The 26,521-nt window shown below is 39.5% G+C and overlaps 1 protein-coding gene across 2 annotated transcripts in view, besides 1 other annotated feature; it reads left to right on the top strand.

Moving 5' to 3' along the window:
* Positions 1-26,521, top strand: part of SLC25A24 (solute carrier family 25 member 24) — a 66,301-nt gene that overhangs the window by 36,800 nt on the left and 2,980 nt on the right. For both annotated transcript variants that reach the window (NM_013386.5, NM_213651.3), the window contains exons 4-9: positions 2,251-2,362; positions 5,924-6,082; positions 8,409-8,561; positions 15,158-15,265; positions 19,834-20,001; positions 24,336-24,486. In NM_013386.5, the coding sequence (NP_037518.3) occupies positions 2,251-2,362; positions 5,924-6,082; positions 8,409-8,561; positions 15,158-15,265; positions 19,834-20,001; positions 24,336-24,486 (851 nt within the window). The remainder of the gene's footprint in view (positions 1-2,250; positions 2,363-5,923; positions 6,083-8,408; positions 8,562-15,157; positions 15,266-19,833; positions 20,002-24,335; positions 24,487-26,521) is intronic.
* Positions 3,210-4,148: an enhancer, noted in NCBI's record as "NANOG-H3K27ac hESC enhancer chr1:108702018-108702956 (GRCh37/hg19 assembly coordinates)". NCBI's record gives its function as "activates a minimal SCP1, AML or CMV promoter by ChIP-STARR-seq in naive and primed H9 embryonic stem cells {active_cell/tissue: H9 hESC(naive and primed)}" and the evidence as "EXISTENCE:reporter gene assay evidence [ECO:0000049][PMID:30033119]".

Genomic DNA, 26,521 nt, shown 5'->3' with positions numbered 1-26,521 from the left:
ATAAAATACCTAGGAATCCAACTTACAAGGGATGTGAAGGACCTCTTCAAGGAGAACTGCAAACCACTGCTTAATGAAATAAAAGAGGATACAAACAAATGGAAGAACATTCCATGCTCATGGGTAGGAAGAATCAGTATCGTGAAAATGGCCATACTGCCCAAGGCAATTTACAGATTCAATGCCATCCCCATCAAGCTACCAATGACTTTCTTCACAGAATTGGAAAAAACTACTTTAAAGTTCATATGGAACCAAAAAAGAGCCCGCATTGCCAAGTCAATCCTAAGCCAAAAGAACAAAGCTGGAGGCATCATGCTACCTGACTTCAAACTATACTACAAGGCTACAGTAACCAAACCAGCATGGTACTGGTACCAAAACAGAGATATAGACCAATGGAACAGAACAGAGCCCTCAGAAATAACGCCGCATATCTACAACTATCTGATCTTTGACAAACCTGAGAAAAACAAGCAATGGGGAAAGGATTCCCTATTTAATAAATGGTGCTGGGAAAACTGGCTAGCCATATGTAGAAAGCTGAAACTGGATCCCTTCCTTACACCTTATACAAAAATCAATTCAAGATGGATTAAAGACTTAAACGTTAGACCTAAAACCATAAAACCCCTAGAAGAAAACCTAGGCATTACCATTCAGGACATAGGCATGGGCAAGGACTTCATGTCTAAAACACCAAAAGCAATGGCAACAAAAGCCAAAATTGACAAATGGGATCTAATTAAACTAAAGAGCTTCTGCACAGCAAAAGAAACTACTATCAGAGTGAACAGGCAACCTCCAAAATGGGAGAAAATTTTTGCAACCTACTCATCTGACAAAGGGCTAATATCCAGAATCTACAATGAACTCAAACAAATTTACAAGAAAAAAACAAACAACCCTATCAAAAAGTGGGTGAAGGACATGAACAGACACTTCTCGAAAGAAGACATTTATGCAGCCAAAAAACACATGAAAAAATGCTCACCATCACTGGCCATCAGAGAAATGCAAATCAAAACCACAATGAGATACCATCTCACACCAGTTAGAATGGCAATCATTAAAAAGTCAGGAAACAACAGGTGCTGGAGAGGATGTGGAGAAATAGGAACACTTTTACACTGTTGGTGGGACTGTAAACTAGTTCAACCCTTGTGGAAGTCAGTGTGGCAATTCCTCAGGGATCTAGAACTAGAAATATCATTTGACCCAGCCATCCCATTACTGGGTATATACCCAAAGGACTATAAATCATGCTGCTATAAAGACACATGCACATGTATGTTTATTGTGGCACTATTCACAATAGCAAAGACTTGGAACCAAGCCAAATGTCCAACAATGATAGACTGGATTAAGAAAATGTGGCACATTTACACCATGGAATACTATGCAGCCATAAAAGATGAGTTCATGTCTTTTGTAGGGACATGGATGAAATTGGAAATCATCATTCTCAGTAAACTATCACAAGAACAAAAAACCAAACACCGCATATTCTCACTCATAGGTGGGAATTGAACAGTGAGAACACATGGACACAGGAAGGGGAACATCACACTCTGGGGACTGTTGTGGGGTGGGGGGAGGGGGAGGGATGGCATTGGGAGATATACCTAATGCTAGATGACGAGTTAGTGGGTGCAGCGCACCAGCAAGGCACATGTATACATATGTAACTAACCTGCACATTGTGCACATGTACCCTAAAACTTAAAGTATAATAATAAAAAAAAAAGACTCAAAGGCACAGTCACTGACAGTTTGATTTTTTATAATAGCTGTTAATTTTCCTAACTTCGAGGAAGTTGATAGCATGTTTTGAGTATATTTCAAAACTACATTCAAATGTTGCAATAGAACATTAAGAATTATCTTCATGATCCACTAAGTGCATGAAAAAAATGGATAATGAATCTATTCATTACCATCGTTTAATATTTTATCTTCAAGTTTTTGTGTTTTGTAGCTCATTGGCAGAGTTTGACAGAGTGCTGAAAGTATTCTTTAGTGAGCTGGCTGTAATTTTTGGGCCCATTTTTATCTAGATAATTAAAACTATCTGACAGGACCATAAAATGCTTGCTGCCATTTCCAACAACCTATATTTGTGGATGGGGTTTTTTAATTTAATGAGAATATTATGTTAGAAAAGAAACTGTCATTCTGTAAAGTGGCCAATAATGTTAGTTTTATTTATCAATTTAGTTTTGTACTTTGATCATTTTTTTAAAATTTCAGCATTGATGTTGATGGGACAATGACAGTGGACTGGAATGAATGGAGAGACTACTTCTTATTTAATCCTGTTACAGACATTGAGGAAATTATCCGTTTCTGGAAACATTCTACAGTAAGTCTACTTTATGTATTTATACTTATTTGGAGCTATAAACCATAGGTACAGTTATCACCCAAGAACACTCTGTAACACTTATGGGCCAGGATACCTGAGTCCCAGTAGCTCCTTAACCTGTAGAGTTCTATTTATTCTATTAGGCATAGATTTATAGAGTATTAAACAAAAAAAAACAGCTCTCCCTCTCCCTCTCCCTCTCTCTCCCCCTCCCCACGGTCTCCCTCTCCCTCTCTTTCCACGGTCTCCCTCTGATGCCGAGCCAAAGCTGGACTGTACTGCTGCCATCTCGGCTCACTGCAACCTCCCTGCCTGATTCTCCTGCCTCAGCCTGCCGAGTGCCTGCGATTGCAGGCGCGCACCGCCACGCCTGACTGTTTTTCGTATTTTTTTGGTGGAGACGGGGTTTCGCTATGTTGGCCGGGCTGGTCTCCAGCTCCTGACCGCGAGTGATCCACCAGCCTCGGCCTCCCGAGGTGCTGGGATTGCAGACGGAGTCTCGTTCACTCAGTGCTCAATGGTGCCCAGGCTGGGGTGCAGTGGCATGATCTCGGCTCGCTACAACCTCCACCTCCCAGCCGCCTGCCTTGGCCTCCCAAAGTGCCAAGATTGCAGCCTCTGCCCAGCCGCCACCCCGTCTGGGAAGTGAGGAGCGTCTCTGCCTGGCCGCCCATCGTCTGGGATATGAGGAGCCCCTCTGCCTGGCTGCCCAGTCTGGAAAGTGAGGAGTGTCTCTGCCCGGCCGCCATCCTGTCTAGGAAGTGAGCGTCTCTGCCCGGCCGCCCATCGTCTGGGATGTGAGGAGCCCCTCTGCCTGGCTGCCCAGTCTGGAAAGTGAGGAGCGCCTCTTCCCGGCCGCCATCCCATCTAGGAAGTGAGGAGCGTCTCTGCCCGGCCGCCCATCGTCTGAGATGTGGGGAGCGCCTCTGCCCCGCCGCCCCGTCTGGGATGTGAGGAGCGCCTCTGCTCGGCCGCCCCGTCTGAGAAGTGAGGAGACCCTCCGCCCGGCAGCCGCCCCGTCTGGGAAGTGAGGAGCGTCTCCGCCCGGCAGCCACCCTGTCCGGGAGGGAGGTGGAGGGGTCAGCCCCCCGCCCGGCCAGCCACCCCATCCGGGAGGTGAGGGGTGCCTCTGCCCGGCCGCCCCTACAGGGAAGTGAGGAGCCCCTCTGCCCGGCCACCACCCCATCTGGGAGGTGTACCCAACAGCTCATTGAGAACGGGCCATGATGACAATGGCGGTTTTGTGGAATAGAAAAAGGGGAAAGGTGGGGAAAAGATTGAGAAATCGGATGGTTGCTGTGTCTGTGTAGAAAGAGGTAGACATGGGAGACTTTTCATTTTGTTCTGTACTAAGAAAAATTCTTCTGCCTTGGGATCCTGTTGATCTATGACCTTACCCCCAACCCTGTGCTCTCTGAAACATGTGCTGTGTCCACTCAGGGTTAAATGGATTAAGGGCGGTGCAAGATGTGCTTTGCTAAACAGATGCTTGAAGGCAGCAGGCTCGTTAAGAGTCATCACCACTCCCTAATCTCAAGTACCCAGGGACACAAACACTGCGGAAGGCCGCAGGGTCCTCTGCCTAGGAAAACCAGAGACCTTTGTTCACTTGTTTATCTGCTGACCTTCCCTCCACTATTGTCCTGTGACCCTGCCAAATCCCCCTCTGCGAGAAACACCCAAGAATGATCAATTAAAAAAAAAAAAAAAAAAACAACCCAAGACTGCATAAATGTCCATTCTGAAAACTTGGAAGAAGTACCACCTTGATGAATAAGCTGTCTAGCTTTTATTGGCATTTAAGTATTCTGCCATAGGGAAGTGTAAAAGTTGTAGGCTTTTACTTTTTATAGGTACTATATTGTCCAAATAATCTCAGCACCTCATGGTTGCTAAGGATCTGTGTCCTTGTTTGGTCAGATTATGTTTATCTCTGGCATAAGGCACTTAACAATATTCATTAAAGGTTACAGAATCTTTTTGCTTCATCTGCTTAGCATTTCATACCAGTTTGTTTTCCACCAAACTTTCAAATTTTGATTGTTTCATTAATATTCTGCATACTGATGTAAACCAAGTTCTATTATTGTGCAATCTGCTCCTGAAACCCTTAGGAACTCTCTGAAGGAGTTTTATTTATTTTTTGTTTTTGTTTTTGTTTTTGTTTTGTTTTTTTGAGACGGAGTCTTGCTCTGTTGCCCAGGCTAGAGTGCAGTGGTGCGATCTCGGCTCTCTGCAAACTCGGCCTCCGGGGTTCACGCCATTCTCCTGCCTCAGCCACCGGAGTAGCTGGGACTACAGGCACCCACCACTGCGCCTGGCTAATTTTTTTTGTATTTTTAGTAGAGACGGGGTTTCACCGTGTTAGCCAGGATGGTCTCGATCTCCTGACCTTGTAATCCGCCCGCCTCGCCTCCCAAAGTGCTGGGATTACAGGCGTGAGCCACTGTGCCCGGCCTTTTTTTTTTTTTTTTTCTTTATGGGCTTGTCTTCTACACTTCAGATTTGACTAAATTAAATATGCATTAAATGAAGTCAGGAGTTCACATTGCCACTAGTAACAATGCCTAAGCTTACATAAAGCATTATAAAATTGTTGGTGATTAGTGCCTTCTCAGCTATGAGTATAAGATAATATTATACTAGTAGTTCAGTTGCCTAGATAAATTGTACACTATGTGAAGTTTTATTTACATAATTCTTACGGTATTTTTTAAGGTAGTTGATAACAGTTGAGACTACAATTGTATCTCCATTTTATTGATAGTAAAATGAAGGAAGGGAGGGTTACTACCATAGGAGAGCTCCTCCCCGTTGCACTCTTGCCTGTAAAAATTTTTCTGCCAAAACAATTTAGATAATAGAATTGTAAAAATATTATTATAGAATTGTTTCTCTCAAACTATAGTAATGTAGAATAGGTTGAAGGGGTGATGATTTGAAACAATACCTCTCCATTAGCTAAATTTTATATAGAATCTATTGCATGTTTTAAATGATAAGTCAGATTTATAAAAATATTTTTATAAACAGTAGGAAATGAGTTTAGGGGTATTCACATACAGTTTTAATTTTTATTTACATATTTAAAACATATCATGGTATAAATATGATGTGGATATAAATTTGAGATAAAGGAAGTATTGTTTAAGAATTGATGAACGAATTTCTTAAAAGATGTCATCACCAGTTGGTTTTCTAGCCTTATGAAAAATGGTTGCAATAAAAAAGATTGACTATGATAAAATGCTGCCCTTTCATTTTAACCTAGACCAAGAGAAAACATACTGTGAATCTATGATGAATGAAAGAAAGTTGTAACTGTTGGTTTTGTATATTTGTAATTACTGTTTATTTTCATTTCTTGTGAACTGATACTGTACTTTGTTCATTGTGAGTAGACAACTTATAATCTATGTACTCAAATTGGTTTAGTATAAATTCTAGGGAATGAAGTTCATATTAACTGTAAAATAACATGATTCTTCTCTAAAACAAAACGTCTTCTGGGATTATTTTTAACTAAGGCGCATGGGGATCTTTTTTTCATTTTTACAGGGAATTGACATAGGGGATAGCTTAACTATTCCAGATGAATTCACGGAAGACGAAAAAAAATCCGGACAATGGTGGAGGCAGCTTTTGGCAGGAGGCATTGCTGGTGCTGTCTCTCGAACAAGCACTGCCCCTTTGGACCGTCTGAAAATCATGATGCAGGTGAGCTTTATTATCGTGTGTCCAGGTTTGCCCTAAATATTCTAAAACAATGAGAAATGTGGTGCTTTGAAAAAGAAGTTTTAAAATTTCTCAGTAATAATCTTTTATACCCTAAAAAATAAATCTATTTTGTTGCTGTTAACTCTAAATTCAGTCCATGTAAGTATGGCAGTGTACCAAACCTTAAATTGTTAGTACATGTGTGTAATGAACTTTTAATCTTTGGCATTCTATGACTATTCAAACATTTAATTCAAAAAATATCTCTAGCTATTGTTGTAGGATTCTCCTGATTTATAGTTTCCTTCTTTTTAATATACTTTATCAAAAGTAAAGTATTTTTGAAATCTAGAATCTTAGAGCAGCAATGTAATTTTGAAAATTATTCTAAAGCTGAGGTTAGCAGAAAAAGATCTGGCTTTATAGACTGACTTTGCTATTTACTAGCAGTGTAGCATTGGGCTGGCCAGAGTGGAAAGAGGGAATGGAAAAGAATTAATATGTATTTGCTCACTGTGGTAACCCAGTTAATCCTTGCAGCAGCCCAGTGAAGTAGGTATTTTATCATTTTTCCAGGGGGAATCTGAGGCCCAGAGAATTGACTTTTCCTTTACAACAAATGAGAGGGGGAATGCAGTATCTTTGCCTCCAGTGCTCCTGGTTCTCATGCTGCATGAAACCTCTGAGGTCTCATTTTCCTTCATTCTGGGATGGGGATAAGAATATCTAATAAGAATGGTTTAAGAATCAAGCAATATCAGGTATGTGATAATGTCTGGTACACTGGAATAACCTATTGGAACATAGTAGTTGTTTACAAAATATTTTTAAAACTTTGTTATACTTATGGTCAACACTTTTTATATTTGTCTGTAGATTTCTGTACAAAAAGATTCTGACACTGTTTTAAGCCAGCATTCCTTCAGAATGTACCCAAATCTCAAAATTTATTTAGGGGCAAAGCTAATGCTTTAAAGAAAAAGGAGAGGGGATTGGTGTGTGTTTTTCTTTAGGAACAGTAGTAACTTGACTTTTAGAGAACTTGAATAAGCATTTATTTTTTCCTTTGTCCTATTTTATTGTGAAGTTTATTTATTTAAAATAAAATGGATTTCTCTGGAATTTAGTTTCTGCAAATTTGAGGAGTTTCCAAAGTCAACCTTCAGGTTTGATACTTCTCTAGAAAGACTCACATAACTCACTGAAAGCTTATTACCCCTGGTTATGGTTTATTACGGGGAAAAGATGCGGATGAAAATCAGTCAAGTAAAGAAGCACATAGGGCAGAGCTTCTGTTGTCCTCTCCCTGTGGAGTCTCCATGTCTTACTTTCCTGGCACTGTTATGTGGCACTAGGCATGGAATATTGCAGACCAACCAGGGAAGCTCACCTGAGCCTTTGGTGTGCAGAGTTCTTATTGGGGCCCGTTTTCATACTGGCCACATGGCTGGCCTTCAGAATTCAACCCGTTCTGTGAGTGTGTGTGTGTGTGTGTGTGTGTGTGTGTGTGTTTAGTGGTAGTCACCCCTTTTATGTGAGCTGAAACAATCAGAAGAATAGCTGATTTGTTTAATTATTTTTGGTGTATTGGACTTAATCAGTTTTTATCTGTAGGTGGTCATAAGGTACAGTATTTTTAAGTGACTACCACATCTGTAGTATAAGCCAAGTAATTTATCAGTACTCACAGGATGGGTACATGTTGTAATGAATTTATTGCCTAGAGAGGGCCTCAAAATATGCCAAAGAGGGTGCAATTTTTATTTTTGGTTTCAGGCTGTATGCATTCCAGTGTTGGTAGCCCTGATATACACAATATCCAAACCATTTCAGACCCATTTACAGTTCATGTCTGTACTACTTCTTGAGGAGAGGGAGTAACATATTACTTTAAATTATATGTAATAATATACATACATTAAATTATATGTAATAATATAATATTATTATCTGCAGTATACTTTTTTATTTCCCTTTAACTGAGCCTGTTCATGTTTCAAAGGGTGTTCCATTGCCTGATACATAATTTAGTTAATATTATCTTATGAAGGTTGTTCATAATTTTAATACTCTTCTTGTCTTCTCTCTCTGCTTTCTCACACTGAAGATACCAATTATTCTTAGTTTTAGAGTCAGAGACAGGCCTCTAAAATCATGGCAATACTCCCTCTCATCATTATATATATTTTTCAACCTTTCTATATTTTATTTTCAAATATATCTTCTTGCAGTTAGAAAGGGTATTGAAAAAGATTGTGTGGTTGTTCTAGAAAAAGTAATAGTAATATGCCACCAGCATTTTATATCATTCTGCTTTTATTTTTAGGTTCACGGTTCAAAATCAGACAAAATGAACATATTTGGTGGCTTTCGACAGATGGTAAAAGAAGGAGGTATCCGCTCGCTTTGGAGGGGAAATGGTACAAACGTCATCAAAATTGCTCCTGAGACAGCTGTTAAATTCTGGGCATATGAACAGGTAATTGTTATCACCCGTGGAATTTATTAACAAAGAGGAGTTAGTAAACGGATTCAATAAATGTTAATGTATAATGCTTTTGGGATTCTTGTTTTAATACATGATAATCTTTCACATATACTCCATAAGGAGGATCACTTATAGGAGATTAGACTAAATAAAATCAGAGATTTCTCATGACCAAGTTATGGGATTCTTAATTCATCATATTATTTATAAAGTTTTTTTTTTCTAAGTAGTTCTTAAAGGAAGGGTAGAATTTTAGTTTATTCATTCTGAATCCTGAGCAGAAGCAGCACACTAACATAAGTTTTATGAAAGTGTCACAATCTAACCTCTGGAAGGAAAACTATAAGTTGAAGTCCTTTGTGTAATTTGACGTTGCTGTAAAATTGAGCTGAGTTTGGAGTGACACCTCCATGAAGGCAGGGGCGTGGCTTCTTCCCCATGTACTCCAGCACCTAGACAGAGCTTGGCATGTGATAAGTTTCAAGCGAGTGTTGAATGAGTCAATGAATGAACAAATGCATTTACCTCTGAATCACTTCTCTGTCGGCTTTTGTTAACTTGGATTATTTGAGCTATTGCTTCAGCCTAACTCAATGTAAAGGGGAAATACAGAGGTAAGTTTTAGAGTTTGGGTTCTCTTTATGGTCATTAGCAGAACTGTCTAGTTGAGCAGCCACAGATTATGTTTTCCATTATTTATTCCATCATTGTTTATCAAGGACTGTAAGGGCCTTGAAATTCAACTCCCCCCCCATAGTTTTTGTATTATTCCATGTAGATTTTAGATTATTCTGGAGAGTGTTTTGTTCTTGAGCAAGAGAATACTCTTGAGAAGTTTACGAAGTCCAGTGGTATCCTTTTCTTTGCCTAGGAAATAGAGAAGCAAAAAAAAAAAAAAAATTAAAGAAAATCTAGTCTCCAGGATTTTAATTAGAACCTATCCTTGGGAAGGCTATTTTCCTTATATGAAGGTTTGAAGATTCAAATCATGATTATTAAGGGCTAATGTTTGAGATACCCTTAGGTTATTCTGACCACATACTTGGATTTTATGATAGGAAAGCCACAGCCTAAAATAAATAAATACTCAATGCAGTTATTTCAGTATGCAAGAAGTTTGGTATTTTTGAAAAAGTCCATGGGTATTGCAAGCAAATATGCACATTTTGCTTTATGCCATTTGTCAGATTCTTACCTTGGATACCACCAACAGGCATCCTCTGCTTCTGTCCACCCAAGCTCCTTCCTGAGACCTCTTTATAGTATTGTGATTTCTGCACACTAACTTTCTTAGACATGAAGAGAAAGCTGTCTACACAGTGTGGTGTAGTGTTCTTATGGGCTCTGGACCTATGGTGCTGTTTTCTCTCCTCCTGCTGAAGGTCCATTCATCCCTCGGGGCTCTCTAAAAGCCACCTTCCTGTGACAAGCATATACTAAGCATCTCAATCAAAGCCAGTTCCTCCCCTGTCCAGCCTCCCTCGAGTGCTGAATTGCAGAATATCCCATTTTTCATTGGATGATGGAAAACCCATTGTTTTCCCAGTGGATTGTAAATTACTTCGGGGTAAATAGGCTGTATATATTCTCAAATTTCCCAGAGTATGTAACTAGGTCACTTTTAGATTCAGATAGATTTTGTTCCTTGAATAGCTAGTACTTTAGGAAACTAAGAAAAAGATCTTTTCAACCTGGTATGTAGCTCTGTCAAACACATCATCAGTATGGGGTAAACCTGTGTTCTCTGTGGGTTGTCATTACCATAGTAGTGTCATTGTATCATTGACAGTGTAATAGTGTGGGGTAGTGTTCTTGTGGTTTCAGCTGCCATCTCTGTACTGACTGCTTTCCACTCCAACATCTTCCTCTTTATCTCAACACTGTAGGTCTACCTGTGTACTGTGTGTTTCAGCATCTCTGCTTGCATGACCCAGGAGTGCCTCCCACTCAATATGGCCACCATGCATGGTCATCTTTCTGCTACTCCCTGTCTCCTGACCCTGCTCCAGCAACACAGACAGACACCCTTCCTCTTTCTATATGTCATATGGTGGGAAATGCCCTTTAGTACTTACTCAGGAGTTAGTTCCTCTGGGAAGCCTTCTGTTCTAGTTTCCTTTTGTTACAGCACTTTCACATTGAATTCTGACGTTCTCTGTACTTATCTGCTTTGTGAGACTGTGAGCTTCCTTAGGCAGTAGCTACTTGTATTCTTAGCACCTTGCCCAGTGCCAGGAAACCCTTATTAAGTAAATGAAAAGACAGAACTGACAGACTGGAATTAGAGCTCAAGCTTGCCTCAATCTCAAGCCATTAAGATGAAGGGGAGCCGGGCGTGGTGGCTCACGCCTCTAATCCCAGCACTTTAGGAGGTAGTTTGCTTGAGCCCAGGAGTTCAAGACCAGCCTGGGCAACGTGGCAAAACCCCATTTCTACAAAAAATATAAAAATTAGTTGGGCGTGGGGGTGTGTGCCTGTACTCAGGATGCTGAGGTGGGAGGATCACTTGAGCTCGAGAGGCAGAGGTTGCAGTGAGCTGGGATCACACCATTGCAATCTAGCCTGGGTGATAGAATGAGACCTTGTCTCAAAAAAAAAATAAATAAATAAATAAAGGGGAAGATAAGGATTGGAAACAGAAGGAGCAGCATGTGGACAGAAATGTAGGCACAAGAAGGCATCACTCACTGAAGAGACTGAAGGTGGTTCACTGTGCCTCAAGACTGGTGGAGTGTGTTTCCGGAAAGATAATGATGAAAGAGCTGGACAGATAAACAGGGGCCAAATGTAATAGGAGTCTGGATTTTATTCTGAATATGGTAGGGGCTATTGTAGCATCTTATATAGGGAAGTGAAATGAGTACATTCACATTTAAGGAATATCAACCTGAAAAAAGAGTGGAGACATTGTTGGGGGAGAGTGAGGTAGACTAGAGGCAGGGAGAATATTTAAATAATTGAGGTAAGAAATGATGAACACCAGTATAAGGTGATGTCTTTAAGGAATGGAGAAGGGAATGAACTGAGAAATATTTTGGAAGTAGAATCAACAGAACTCACTGACTGACTGGATATGGAGGTGAGAAAGAGAAGAGTCAAGAATGATATTCTAATTTCTAACTTGAGTGACTGCATTCAAAGAGAATACAATATCAGGTTCCATTTTGTGCATGCTGAGTTTGAGATGTGTGGGACATGTACAGGGAGCTGTCCAGTAAGCAATTGGGTATATCAGCTAGCCATTAAGAGAGAGATCTTTGATAGAGAGGTTGTTGCTGAGTTGAGCCATTGGAATGGGCAGGATCACTCAAGAAGAGCTTATAAATGAGAAGAATTCTAGGAATAAGTCCAAAGGGAGAAGTAAAAGAAGAAACTTGCAAAGGACACTGAGAAGAAATAGCTCGAGGGATGGGAGAAAATCCAGAGAGAGGGATGGCATAGGAGTCAGTGGAAGGAAACGGTTTCATGGGGGTCAGTACTACTGGGTAGTGAATATAATAAGAATATCTTTTAGGATTTCTCAACCCAGAGATAGGTAAGCTTAGTATAAATGCTTCTGTGAAGTAATGAAATGAGAAACCATGCTGAAATGAGCTTAAAGTGAATGGGAGGTGAAGAAACTTGGACAGTAGAGACACATTTTTAGGGAGTTTGACAGTGAAGAGAAGGAAACTAGAAGAGGGAGAGGGTGATAGATAAGAAAGATGTTGGGTGGAGGGGATTTGTTTTTTTGTTTTTTTGTTTTTTTTCTGTTTGTATGTTTGTTTGTTTTTGAGATGGAGTCTCACTTTATCACCCAGGCTGGAGTAAAGTGGTGCAATCTCATCTCACTGCAACCTCTGCCTCCTAGGTTCAAGTGATTCTTCTGCCTCAACCTCCTGAGTAGTTAGGATTACAGGAGTGCACCACAACACCCAGCTAATTTTTGTATTTTTAGTAGAGGTGAGGTTTCACCGTATTGGCCAGGCTGGTTTCAAACTCCTGACCTCAAGTGGTCCTCCTGCCTCAGCCTCCCGAAATGCTGGGATTGCAGGAGTGAGCCACCGTGCCTGGCCTGGAGGGAGGATTTTGATTTGACTTTAATGTGCCTGTTGCTGAAGGAAGCATGTCAATACAAATAAAGAAGTTGAAAACATAGGTAAGAGAGGTTGATTAACCCGGTAGGTGTTTCAAGGGAGTTTGTGTGTAGGGAAAGGGAGTGGGAGATGGAAAGGGGCTGGGGGAGACAGGTTCTATCCAGAGACTGTTAAAAGGATTAGTCTTTGATTACAAGAAGAACTCTTCTTATACGTGTTTGGGAAGAAAAAATATGTGAGTAGCTATGGATAATTTTGCAGGAGGTGGGCAGAATACCAAGATATTCTGCCTGGTGGCCTCTCTACTCTTCCTTGAGCTCCTGAGAAAGGATGTGATCTGAGAATGAGGGAGGAAGTGGTATTGGAAGCTGGAGGAGAATGGAGAAGATCAAAATGGTTAGTCTAACAAATGGGAGAGAACTGAGATAGACAAAAGGATTTCAGGGTGGTTTTGAGGGCTCAGTTAAGTCTCCTTTAGGAAGGTTCAGTTCTGTAGCCTTGGCAAGTTACTTAAAGTCTCTGTGACTATTACCTCATCTCTAAGATGGGGACTAAGCTTGGTGACATAGTTTTACATACCAGGCACAGTGCCTGACTTTTTGGCTCTGTCCTGAAGTCTTCCCTTTGTATATGGTATGTTTCGGGGAATAGGAGCCTCAAGCACTTATCCTTTAAATATTTATCCTCCATCAGTCACTAAACGTTTACTCTGTACTTTTGATAGGTGCTGTGGGGGTCCAAGGTATAAAAGGTACCTTCAAAGTTACTGTTAAAGTGCAGGAAGGTTTTTAAGCAAATTATGTTTAATGATTTTGACAATCTGACATGCAGGAAAATTAATAGGGCCTATGCAGAAGAGGAGTTTTATGTAACACTCTGTAGTTCAGGAAACAGAGCCCTTGGAAGCAGTGATCTCTCTGGGGAGGAATGTCTGGTATTTGGGAATCTCATGAAATGATAATATACTTAATTTTTATCATGAGCAGCAAAACACAGATTTGCTAGGAGAAAGTCATCGTATGTTGTTGCATTGGGCACTTTAGATCCCAGGGAACAGAAACTGGCTGGCACAGGAATGGGCATCACTGTGGGGATGGATCATGTAGGGGAAGGATCCCTGGAGAAGTCCAGGAGGTGAGACTTCCCCCTTCCCTTCTCCATGCATGAGTCCACTTCTCTCTGTTGACTTTCCCCTTGTCCCTCTGGTGACAGCAGCTGCTTACCTCTGGAGACCCCCTCACATTTCTGAGAGAAGGAATCTGGCTTGCCTGGCTAATTCCCATGGTCTATGTTTGGGCAGAATGTCTTAGCAAGTTGTGTAAAGATAGTGTATTCATATATTAATAATAATAATAACATCTACTGAACATTTGCTAGGTGTTCAGACCTGCACTAACCGTGTTACAAGTATTATTTTTTTGTAATCCTTTCCATAACCCTGTGAGGTAAGTACTGTTATCACAGACAAGGAAACCACAATGTGGACCTGTTCATGAACTTGCTCGAGGCCACGTGGCTCTGGAGTTCCAGCTCAGGTCTGCCTGACTCTCAATCCCATGATATTAATATACTGGCCAGTCACTATTTTGGCTGTATTGGGGTCATATTTATACCCTTGGTCCAGTTAGCTATGTTGGGTCACTTTAGTACTGATAGCCAGGGAGATGCTGGGCTTGATAGGTTAGTATAATTCTATGTATTACCTACAGAAACTGTTTTTATAAATTGTTTTGTTAATATTTGTTTGTCACCTATTTATTCATTTTATTTGCACTGGTGAAAATAAACTCATCTTTTAAAAACTGTGGGGAAAATATCCAAACATTGTGAAAACTTGATTAACCTTGTATTTTCTGTACACCTGGGGAGGGATGCTGTTATGCTGTTTCAGCAAAGGAGCAACTTGGTCCAATCTGGGAGACATCTGTGTTTTGTGGAAATCTGACTTGAAAACCACTGTCCAGTCACTGCGTGTATTAGCATTTAGGCCTTGCTCTTCTGCTATGTATTATTAATGTAGTGTATACATTTCGAGACACATCATCACATTTGTCAATTTATTGATTTCTAGGAGCTGATTTGTATTCTAGGATTGTCTAGTTGGCTTGGGCTGCCATAAAATACCACAGTGTGTGTGGAATCAACAACGGAAATTTATTTCTAACAGTTTCAGAGGCGGGAAAGCCTAAGATCAAGGGCCAAGCCAGTTTGATTTCTAGTGAGCGTTCTCTTCTCAGCTTGTAGACAGCTGGTATGTGCTCACATGGTCTTTTCTTGGTGCACATGTGAAGGGGGAGAGAGAGAGTGGGCTCTCTGGTGTCTGCTCTTACAAGAACACTGATCCTGTCATGAGGGCTCCATCCTCATGACCTCATAACCCTAATTACCTCCAGAAGCCTCATCTCCTAATACCATCACATGGGAGGTTACAGCTTCAACATATGAATTTGGTGGGGGTGCAGCTCAGTCCACAGCAGGTAGTAATGTGCATTTTAAAACTTGTTTATACAGTACAAGAAGTTACTTACTGAAGAAGGACAAAAAATAGGAACATTTGAGAGATTTATTTCTGGTTCCATGGCTGGAGCAACTGCACAGACTTTTATATATCCAATGGAGGTGAGTACCATTGTCAAGTCTGACTGTGTGATGGTGTTCGTGTTGGTTGTCTATTGCTCTCTAACAAGTTATCCCAAAATTAACAGTTTAAAACAAGCATTTATCATCGCACAGTTTCTCTGGGTCAGGAATCTGGAAGCAGCTTAGCTGGGTGCCTCTGGCTCAGGGTTTTTCACAGCCCACAGTCAAGATGGTAGTCAGAGCTTGGAATCAGCTGGAGGCGGATTCCAAGCTCACTCATGTTGCTGCCAGGCCTCACTGGCTATTGGCTGGAAACATCAGTTCCTTATCACGTGAGCCTTTCTGTAGGCTGCCTGAGTATCCTCAAAACACAGTAGCTGGCTTCCCTAGAGTCAGTGGTCCAACAGAGAGAGAGAGAGAGAGTGCCTAAGATGAAAGCTGGTATCTTTTGCCTCTTCTGCTGTATTCCATTGATCACACAGACCAACCCTGGTAGAGTGTAGGAGGGGCTGGTATAATGGTGTTAATAACCGGAGACAAATATCACTGGGGGTCACTTTAGAGGCTGGCTGCCACTTTAGAGGCTGGCTGCCATTCCTGTCCAAAGAGTTTCTGTACCATAAATTTAATAATGGAATCTCAGGATTTGATTATATGGTGATTATCCTAATTAGACATCCTTTCATTAGTGCATAGGTTGGCAAAACACAGACCTACGGACTGTTTCATACAGCCCTTGACCTAAGAATGCCTTTTACATTTTTAAAAAGTGGGCAACACAGGAAAAAGTGAGAAAGATCTAAAATCGACACCCTAAGATCACAATTAAAAGAACTAGAGAAGCAAGAGCAAACAAATTCAAAAGATAGCGGAAGACAAGAAGTAGCTAAGGTCAGAGCAGAACTGAAGGAGATAGAGACACGAAAAACCCTTCCAAAAATCATTGAATCCAGGAGCTGTTTTTATGAAAAGTTTAACAAAATAGACAACTAGCCAGAATAATAAAGAAGAAAACAGAGGAGAATCAAATAGACACAATAAAAAATGATAAAGGGGATATCACCACCAATCCCACAGAAATGCAAACTACCATCAGGGAATACTATAAACACCTCTATGCAAATAAACTAGAAAATCTAGAAGAAATGGATAAATTCCTGGACACATACACGCTCCCAAGACTAAATCAGGAAGAAGCTGAATCCCTGTATAGACCAATAACATGTTCTGAAATTGAGGCAGTAATTAATAGCCTACCAACCAAAAAAAACCCAGGACCAGACAGATTCATAGCCGAATTCTACCAGAGGTACAAAGAGGAGCTGATGCCATTCCTTCTGAAATTATTCAAACAATAGAAAAAGAGAGATTCCTCCCTAACTCATTTTATGAGGGCAGCATCATTCTGATACTAAAACCTGGCAGAGACACAACCAAAATAGAAAATTTCAGGCCAATATCCCTGATGAACATCAATGTGAAAATCCTCAATAAAATACTGGCAAACTGAATGCAGCAGGACATCCAAAAGTTTATCCACCATGATCAAGTTGGCTTCATCCCTGGGATGCAAGGCTGTTCAACATATGCAAATCAATATAACGGAATTCATCAATAAACAGAACCAGTGACAAAAACCGCATGATTATCTCAATAGATGCAGAAAAGGCCTTCGATAAAATTCAACACCACTTCATGTTAAAAACTCTCACTAAACTAGTTATTGATGGAATGTATAACAAAATAATAAGAGCTGTTTATGACAAACCCACAGCCAATATCATACTGAATGGGCAAAAGCTGGAAGCATTCCCTTTGAAAACCGGCACAAGACAAGGATGTCCTCTGTCAGCACTCCTATTCAACGTAGTATTGGAAGTTCTGGCCAAGGCAATCAGGCAGGAGAAAGAAATAAAGCGTATTCAGATAGGAAAAGAGGAAGTCAAATTGTCTCTGTTTGCAGTTGACATGATTGTATATTTAGAAAACCTCCTTGTCTCAGCCCCAAATCTCCTTAAGCTGATAAGCAACTTAAAGCAAAGTCTCAGGGTACAAAATCAATGTGCAAAAATCACTAGCATTCCTATTAACCAATAATACACAAACAGAGAGCCAAATCACGAGTGAACTCCCATCCACAATTGCTACAAAGAGAATAAAATACCTCGGAATACAACTTACAAGGGATGTGAAGGACCTGTTCAAGGAGAACTACAAACCACTCCTCAAGGAAATAAGAGAGGACACAAACAAATGGAAAAACATTTCATGCTCATGGATAGGAAGAATCAATATCATATCATAGGAAGAATCAGTGGCCATACTGCCCAAAGTAATTTATAGATTCAATGATATCCCCATCAAGCTAACATTGAATTTCTTCACAGAAATAGAAAAAACTACCTTAAATTTCATATGAAACTAAAAAAGAGCCTGTATAGCCAAGACAATCCTAAGCAAAATGAACGAAGCTGGAGGCATCACGCTACCTGACTTCAAACATACTACAAGGCTACAGTAACCAAAACAGCATGGTACTGGTACCAAACAGATATATAGACCAATGGAACAGAACAGAGGCCTCAGAAATAACACCACACGTCTACAACCATCTGATCTTTGACAAAAACAAGCAATGGGGAAAGGATTCCTTATTTAATGTATGGTGTTGGGAAAACTGGCTAGCCATATGCAGAAAACTGAAACTGGACCCCTTCCTTACACCTTATAAAAAAAAAATTAACTCAAGATAGATTAAAGTCTTAAACATAGACTTAAACTATAAAATCCCTAGAAAAAAACCGAGGCAATACCATTCAGGACACAGGCATGGACAAAGACTTCATGACTGAATCACAAAAGCAATGGCAACAAAAGCCAAAATTGACAAATGGGATCTAATTAAACTAAAGATCTTCTGCACAGCAAAAGAAACTATCATCAGAGTGAACCGGCAACCTACAGAATGGGAGAAAAATTTTGCAATCTATCCATCTGACAAAGGGCTAATATCCAGAATCTATAAGGAACTTAAGCAAATTTACAAGAAAAAAAAACCCACCAAAAAGTGGGTGACGGATATGAACAGACACTTCTCATAAGAAGACATTTATGCAGCCAACAAACGTGAGAAAAGGCTCATCATCCCTGGTTGTTAGAGAAATGCAAATCAAAACCACAATGGCATACCATCTCACGCCAGTTAGTTAAAAAGTCAGGAAACAACAGATGCTGGCAAATATGTGGAGAAATAGGAATGCTTTTACACTGTTGGTGGGAGTGTAAATTAGTTCAAGCATTGTGGAAGACAGTGTGGCAATTCCTCAAGGATCTAGAACCAGAAATACCGTTTGACCCAGCAATCCCATTACTGGTTATATACTCAAAGGATTATAGATTTTTCTACTATAAAGACACATGCACACGTATATTTATTGCAGCACTGTTCACAATAGCAAAGACTTGGAACCAACCCAAATGCCCATCAGTGATAGACTAGATAAACAAAATATGGCACATATACACCATGGAATACTATGCAGCCATAAACAAGGATGAGTTCATGTCCTTTGTAGGGACATGGATGAAGCTGGAAGCCATCATTCTCAGCAACCTAACACAGGAACAGAAAACCAAACACCACATGTTCTCACTCATAAGTTGGAGTTGAACAATGAGAATACATGGACACAGGGAGGGGAACATCACACACTGGGGCCTTTTTGGGGATGAGGGGCTAGGGGAGGAATAGCATTAGAAGAAATACCTAATGTAGGTGACAGGTTGATGGGTGCAGCAAACCACCATGGCACGTGTATACCTATGTAACAAACCTGCACGTTCTGCACATGTATCCCAGAACTTAAAGTACAATTTTTAAAAAGTAGGCAAAAACAAAAGAAAAGAAAAGTAATATACAACCGAGACCTAATATTTTAGGCTTGCAACGACAGATATTTTACTATTTAGTCTTTACAGGAAAAGTTTTCCAACTACTGCTTTATAGCAAAAATAATATTGTAGATGTGGAATTTATTGATATAGCAGAGGGGTTTTTAGTAACTGATGACTTAAGCAAGATAAATACAATTTTCACCGATATGTGGTATGCATGCTAATACAGCTTTTTTTAAGCATCTTAATATGATTGTTTATATTACTCCACACACCTCTCAAAAAAACTTAATACCTATTTTTCCTCTCATATCCTCCATATCAGTTAATAGTATCACCTTCCCAACTCCCCACTGCCCCATCCTGTGTTCCAAGCTAGAAGTATTGGGGTTATCCTTTATACTACCATTTCCCTCACCTTCCAGATGCAGGTGGTCACCAGTCAGTTTTGTTAAGACATCAATAGATTATCTTGCTTCCATTTCCTTGGTCACTTCCTTCATCAGATCCTCCTTGCAGTAAACGGGTCTCTCTGGCTTTGGTCTTAGCCCCCCAATAGAGGTAATACATGAAAGAGAATGTATCAACAAATTGTACAGTCTTTTGAGTGACAATATGTGCTAGGTATTTGTTCCATGTAAAATTACTTCATTTGAATCCCATGATGATAGAGTTAATATGAACAATCATATTTTGTTTTTTTTTATATCCAGGTTATGAAAACCAGGCTGGCTGTAGGCAAAACTGGGCAGTACTCTGGAATATATGATTGTGCCAAGAAGATTTTGAAACATGAAGGCTTGGGAGCTTTTTACAAAGGCTATGTTCCCAATTTATTAGGTATCATACCTTATGCAGGCATAGATCTTGCTGTGTATGAGGTGAGTTTGTAGAAATCTTTTGAATTGGAAAATGCAGTTAGATCTTGTTAGAATTGGACTTTATATGAAGAAGTAGATATATACCAGAAAACAGTGTGTGACCAGAAGTAAATTCAAGCATGTGTTATTTGAACTTTCAAGTAACTTGAGTGTGAATATGCATGGGGTCACTTTTGTATTAGATTTTCTTGGGAATTGCTTTTGTTAATGAAGAGTAGACTCAAAGTTAGGTATAGTTGTTCACCTTAAAAGGTGTTTCTAGAGATTTTTTCCTTTGTTTTGGATTTGCAAAAATCTGACATTAAGCCAAGTGACTAATGTGACTAACATGAGTAATACAGTTTCATTCCTTGTACGGAAGAATACAAATCTTGGATCAACCCTGCAATCTAAATCATTTAATAATTTATGAATCTCACAAACAATTATTGAGCACACACTATACAAACCACTAGGTTAGACACTGGATCTGGGGATTCAAAGGACTCAATGTGTGCCTTGAAGAAACTGAAGGTCTGGTGGGGGAGACAAACGACTAAAACTCAGCGTGGTTATCTGTGCTGCGACAGACATGAGCCAGGGTGCATGTTAGGATGAGACCTAAGCTACAGCGTAGAGGAAGAGTGGAATGTGTAATGAAAAGAAGAGTCGAATTTTTTTTTTAAAGAGCTTTATTGAGATTTAGTTCATATTCCTTACATTTCACTCATTTGAAGTGTACAAGCAAATGGTTTTTGGCTTCTTACATAATTTTTAAAAATTATTATAAAATATAAAATTTGCCATTTTACTAATTTTAAGTGTACAATTCAGTGGCATTAATTACATTCACAATATTGTGCAACCATCAACACTATTTCCAAATCCTTTTCCTCACTCCAAACAGAAACACCTTAACCTTTAAGCAATAACTTCCTACCCTCCGTAACTCAAACCTTTGGTAACCTCTAATCTGCTTTCTATGTCTAGGAATTTACCCATTCAAGATATCTTATAAGTAGAATCATACAGTATTTTTCTTTTTGTGTCTGATTTATTACTCTTAGCATAATGTCTCTAAGGTTTGTTCATGTTGTAGCATGTATCAGAACTTCATTTCTTTTCATGGCTGAGTAATATTCCGTTATGTGTATATACCACATTTTGTTTAGTCCTTCATCTGTTGAAGAGCATTTGGATTATTTCTACTTTTCCAACATTGTGAATAATGCTGCAGTGAACATTGGCATCTGCGTATCTGTTCGAGTCTATGCCTTCAATTCCTTTGGGTATATATCTCAGAATGGAATTGCTGAGCCATATGGTCATTCTGTGTTTAGCTTTTAGGAACTATCAGACTGTTTTCCATAGTGGCTGCACTTACATTCTCACCAGCAACATACAAAGGTTCCAGTTTTTCCACGTCCTTATTAACACTTAATTTCCATTTTAAAAAAGCTTATTTTTATTATGGCCGTCCTCTTAGGTGTGAGGTGGTATGGTTCAGGACTTTACTTCTTGTGCTGAGTTTTTTAAAAAATTGTGATTAAAAACACATAACATAAAGTTTATGATTTTAACCATTTTTAAATATATAGTACAGTAAGTGTTAACTGTTTGTGGTTTGTTGTGCAACAGATCTCTAGAACTTTTTCACTTCTCAAAACTTAAACTCTATAGTCATTAAACAACAGCTCCCAATTTCCCCTTCACCCCAGCGCTGTGTAACCTACTTTCTCGTTTTATGAGTTTGACTACATTAAATACCTTGTATAAGTGAAATCATGTGGTATTTCTCTTTCCGTGACTGGCTTATTTCATGTAACATAGTTTCCTCATGATTCATCCATATGATAGCATACAACAGGACTTTTTTGTTTTTAAGGCTGAATAATAATTTGTTGGGTATATATATCACATTTTCTTTATTCATCTGTTGATGGACATTTGGATTGTTTCTACATCTTGACTATTGTGAATAGTGCTGCAGTGAACATGGTTGTGCAAATATCTCTTCAAGATACTGTTTTCAGTTCTTTTTGACATATACTCAGAAGTGGAATTTCTGGGTCAAATGGTAATTCTATTTTTAAGTTTTTGAGGAACCTCCATGTCATTTTCCATAGTAACTAGACCTTTTTGTTTTTTAACATTTCTATCAATGTACACCAAGATTCCAATTTCTCCATGTCCTCCCCAACACCATTAAGTGGGGTGGTGGTCTACTACTATTGCTGTGTTGCTGTTTATTCCTCCCTTCAGTTCTGTAAGTGTTTGCTTCATATATTTAGGAGCTTAATATTAGGTCCATATGAAGTTATAATTTCTTCCTGGTAAAGTGACCCATTTATCATTATGTAATGTCCATCTTTGTCTCTTGTGACAGTTTGTGTCTTAAAGTCTATTTTGTCTGATGTAATTATGGCCACCCCTTTTCTCTTTGGGTTCCCGTTTTTATGGAATATCTTTTTCCATCCTTTCACTTTCAGCTTATGTGTGTCCTTAGATCTAAAGTGAGTCTCATAGATAAGGTATAGTTGATTCTGTATGTGTTATTCACTCAGCAATTTATATCTTTTAATTAGGGGATTTAATCCATTTACATTTAAAGCAGTTACTGATAGGGAAGGACTTACTGTTGTCATTTGGCTAGCTACCTTTTTATCTTTGTCCTGTGGCTTTTCTGTTTTTCCCTTCCTCTCTTCCTGGCTTCTTCTGTGTTTTGTTGATTTTTTTTTTTTTTTGTAGTGATATGTTCTGATTCCCTTCTCATTTCCCTTTGTGTGCATTCTATAGATGCTATTTTTGTGGTTACCATTGCAACTACATAAAGCATACTAAAGTTATAGCAACTTATTTTAAGCTGTTTACAACTTAACTTCAGTGGTATATAAAACTCTATTTCTTTACATATTTCACCTCCTCCCCACAAACTTTATGTCTTTTGATATTGTATATCCTTAACATAGATTTATAGTTACTTTTTATGCTTTTCTTCTTTAAATTCTGTTTAAATTTTGTTTTTGAAATTTAGATTTTCAAGTTATTTATATACCTTCATTACAATACTATAGGATTTTATAATATTCTAAATATTGACCTTTACCATAGAGTTTCATATTTTGTGGTTTTGTGTTGCTATTTATCATCCTTTTGTTTCTCCTTTTAGCCTTTCTTGTAGGGCCGGTCTAGTGGTGATAAGCTGTATCAGCTTTTGTTTGTCAGGGACAGTCTTAATTTCTCCTTTTTTGAAGGGCAGTTTTGCCCATACAGTATTTTTGTTTGGCAGTTTTTTTAAGTTTCAAAACATAGAATATAACATTCCATTTCCTTCTAACCTGCAAGATTTCCATTGAGAAATGCACTCAATGGATTTTTTAATCCATTGAGATAATTTTTTAATCCTGTAGGATTTAAAATTTTTAGTCTTACAGGATTAAAAAATTAAAAAGTTAAACTTGTTATATAACATATTAACATGTATTTTATACTTAAAGTATCTTATGTTTAAAAAGTTGATTATCATATATATTTTATACAGTTTCTCCTAATTATTGCCTTCTAATGAAATACAGGGACCTAGAGTAACAGGGATAAAGTATGGCCTTTTGATCAGCACGCCTGGTTCTGAGTCCTTCTTAAAAAAACTCTGGGCCTGGTGTGGTGGCTCATGCCTATAATCTCAGCACTTTGGGAGGCCGAGGCGGGCGGATCACCTGAGGTCAGGAGTTTGAGATCAGCCTTGCCAGCATGGTGAAACCCTGTCTCTACTAACAGTACAAAGATTAGCTGGGCGTGGTGGTGGGTGCCTGTAATCCAAGCTACTCAGGAGGCTGAGGCAGAAGAATCGTTTGAACCTGGGAGGCAGAGATTGGGCCACTGCACTACAGCCTGGGTGACAAGAGCGAGACTCCATCTCAAAAAAACAAACAAAAACTCCGCTGAGATGAATTTTTCTCATTTCTAAAATCAGAATAATAGATTTATGTAAGAGTTTCTGTAAGGCTCAAATGAAATATATGTAACGTGTAAAATGAGATACAATTAGTAGAATTATATTATTTTATTAATACTCACCATAAGAGGTGTTCTTTAGATCCTGCAGCGTTTGCTGCGCAGTTCACGTTTGTTTAGAAGAATGTCAGTAACCGGTGCAAACCTCATGTGTTCCGCACCCCCAGTGGCCTCCCACCTCTCCACAGAGTCACCGCCTCCTGCAGTGCCTGCTGCTTCTGCAAATGCGTGGCCTCATCCTGCAGAAACGGGGCTTCTCATGAGGTTGAGAATAGCTGTGAAAATGTTTACGTTGAAGTTGTAGAGTTCGTTAATTATTTTCTTCTTTATTTCTCTGGCAGCTCTTGAAGTCCTATTGGCTGGATAATTTTGCAAAAGATTCTGTAAACCCTGGAGTCATGGTGTTGCTGGGATGCGGTGCCTTATCCAGCACCTGTGGTCAGCTGGCCAGCTACCCATTGGCTTTGGTGAGAACTCGCATGCAGGCTCAAGGTGAATTTTTGATTACAGAACCACACCGATAAAAGTGCTGCACCAGTAATGTGCTTTTAGAACTCCAAGTTCTACTAAGATGCAGACTGTAGTTTTAAGACAGTATTTCTCAACCTTTTTTTCATTATTGCCTCCTTAAGGAATCTTTTCAGAAATTCTTTTTCTAAATGCTCCCTCGTCATGAAATTTTAATGCGACAGAAGCATTGCATATGTACTGTATGCATACATATGCCTTATAGATAAACAGAGTACTATTTTTTTTGACTGTGTTACATGCACGTTTTAAGATTATAAGCTTTAGTATCTGATGGATTTGGGTTCAGATCCTTGCCTCAGACTTCTTGGGGTTTTTAATGGGAATGAAAATTGTACAGTGTTGTAAGAATTACCAACAATATAAATAAAGCATCTTGGGTTTGTTAAATTTTTGGTAAATGGTGGTTGGAATCATTTTTTAGTGTTGCGTAGACCCTACAAGTTTTGAGCTGTGATTCCTCCTCACTGTGACAGTCTCCATTGTTGGCTTTGATTACACTGTACCATCCTGGTTGTTCTGCCAGCCCATTGATAACTTTTACCATTTGCTGGCTTTTATTGCTATCCCCACTCTATTAAAGTATGCATTCAAATGCCTTTCTTTTCTCTTTGATGCTTTCCCTGGTCAGTCTTATCCATTGTTTTCTTAAGTAGTACACCTTGGGCATCTACAGCTCTATTCCCAACCTCCCTTCCAAGTGCCAGCCACAGCAACCCCAGCCAAGCAGTCAGTAACTAATTGGCAAATACTCCCTGAGCCATTGTCCCATTCTAGACACTGCCAGATGCTAGGGGTAGAGCAGTCAACAAGTCAGGTGTGGCCCCGCCAGTGTAGAGTAGAGAAGACGTTATGTCCAGCAAGTAAACAACCTGGTTAAACCAACTCCTCTTTTGTTAGGGGAGCACAGAGCAAGGAGCTATAACCTAACTTGGGCGCTGCAGAATGCTGTCAGTGAAGCTGAGACTGGAAAGATGAGTGGGAGTTAGCTGGGCACAGGCCAGTGGAGTGGGAACAGAAAACATTCCAGTTGAGGGAAAGCATGTGTGAAGACACTGAGGCAGGCACCAACATGGTGTATTTAAGGAGCTGAGAGACAGTCATGGCTGTAGAGAAAAACACAAAGTAGTGAACTACACGTTTCTTGTGTATTCTCTCATTTCACCATCATAACCATCTTGGGGATGGGAATACTAACATTATCCCCATTTTTCAGATGAGCAACTGGGGCAGAGAGAATTTAAGTAACTCCCACAAGATTATACCTGTGGTAAATAGTGGGACTGAAATTCAGACACATGCAGTCTGATTCTAACCCTCCTGTCTGCCAGCTCTGATCCAGAACTTTGCATGACTGATACGGCTGATAGATTGTCTATGGCTGATAGACTGTCATTTCTGACCTAAAAGTCTGATCATTTTACATCTGTTCAGACATCTTTGCAGCCTTTCGGTGTCAGTTCCAAAGTTGTTAGTGGGAATTTCAAAGCCTTTAATAATCTAGCCCCACTTTGTTCACTCTCTGTGTAATAACCACATACAACAATTGGCTGCATCTCCATAGCACATGGTACTCCTCCCGTTGTCTTGGTTGTGCCAGCAACACTGGTTTTCGCTTTCTCTTCCTGCTTGTTGAGGTCATTTCCAAGGCCCAGGTCTTTGTGCTTTTTCCCAAGCTTCCCAGAGCTTCTTCCATACTCCCCTTACTTCCTGAGATTTAACTGTTCTCTCTTCAGCGCTTGTCTAGTAAGAAGGAGGCAGCAGCAGCACTGTGGGGTGGTGGAAAGTGTACCAGCTTTAGAGTCAGACCATTGGATCTCAGCCCTACCATTTTCTACTTAGATTTTTTTAGGACAAATTTCTCCATCTTTCTAAGCCTCCAATTGCTCACTTACAAAATTGATATAACATTTACCTTGCAAGATTGGTATGGAAGGTAATTAACCCAGTATTTAGAACATAGTAATTAATAAATAACTATTATTACCATCATTACTAT

Source organism: Homo sapiens, chromosome 1, assembly GCF_000001405.40.
Source record: "Homo sapiens chromosome 1, GRCh38.p14 Primary Assembly".
NCBI classification, from domain to species: domain Eukaryota; kingdom Metazoa; phylum Chordata; class Mammalia; order Primates; family Hominidae; genus Homo; species Homo sapiens.
Note: the sequence above shows the minus strand (reverse complement) of the source record. Positions and strands in the feature narration are given on the sequence as shown.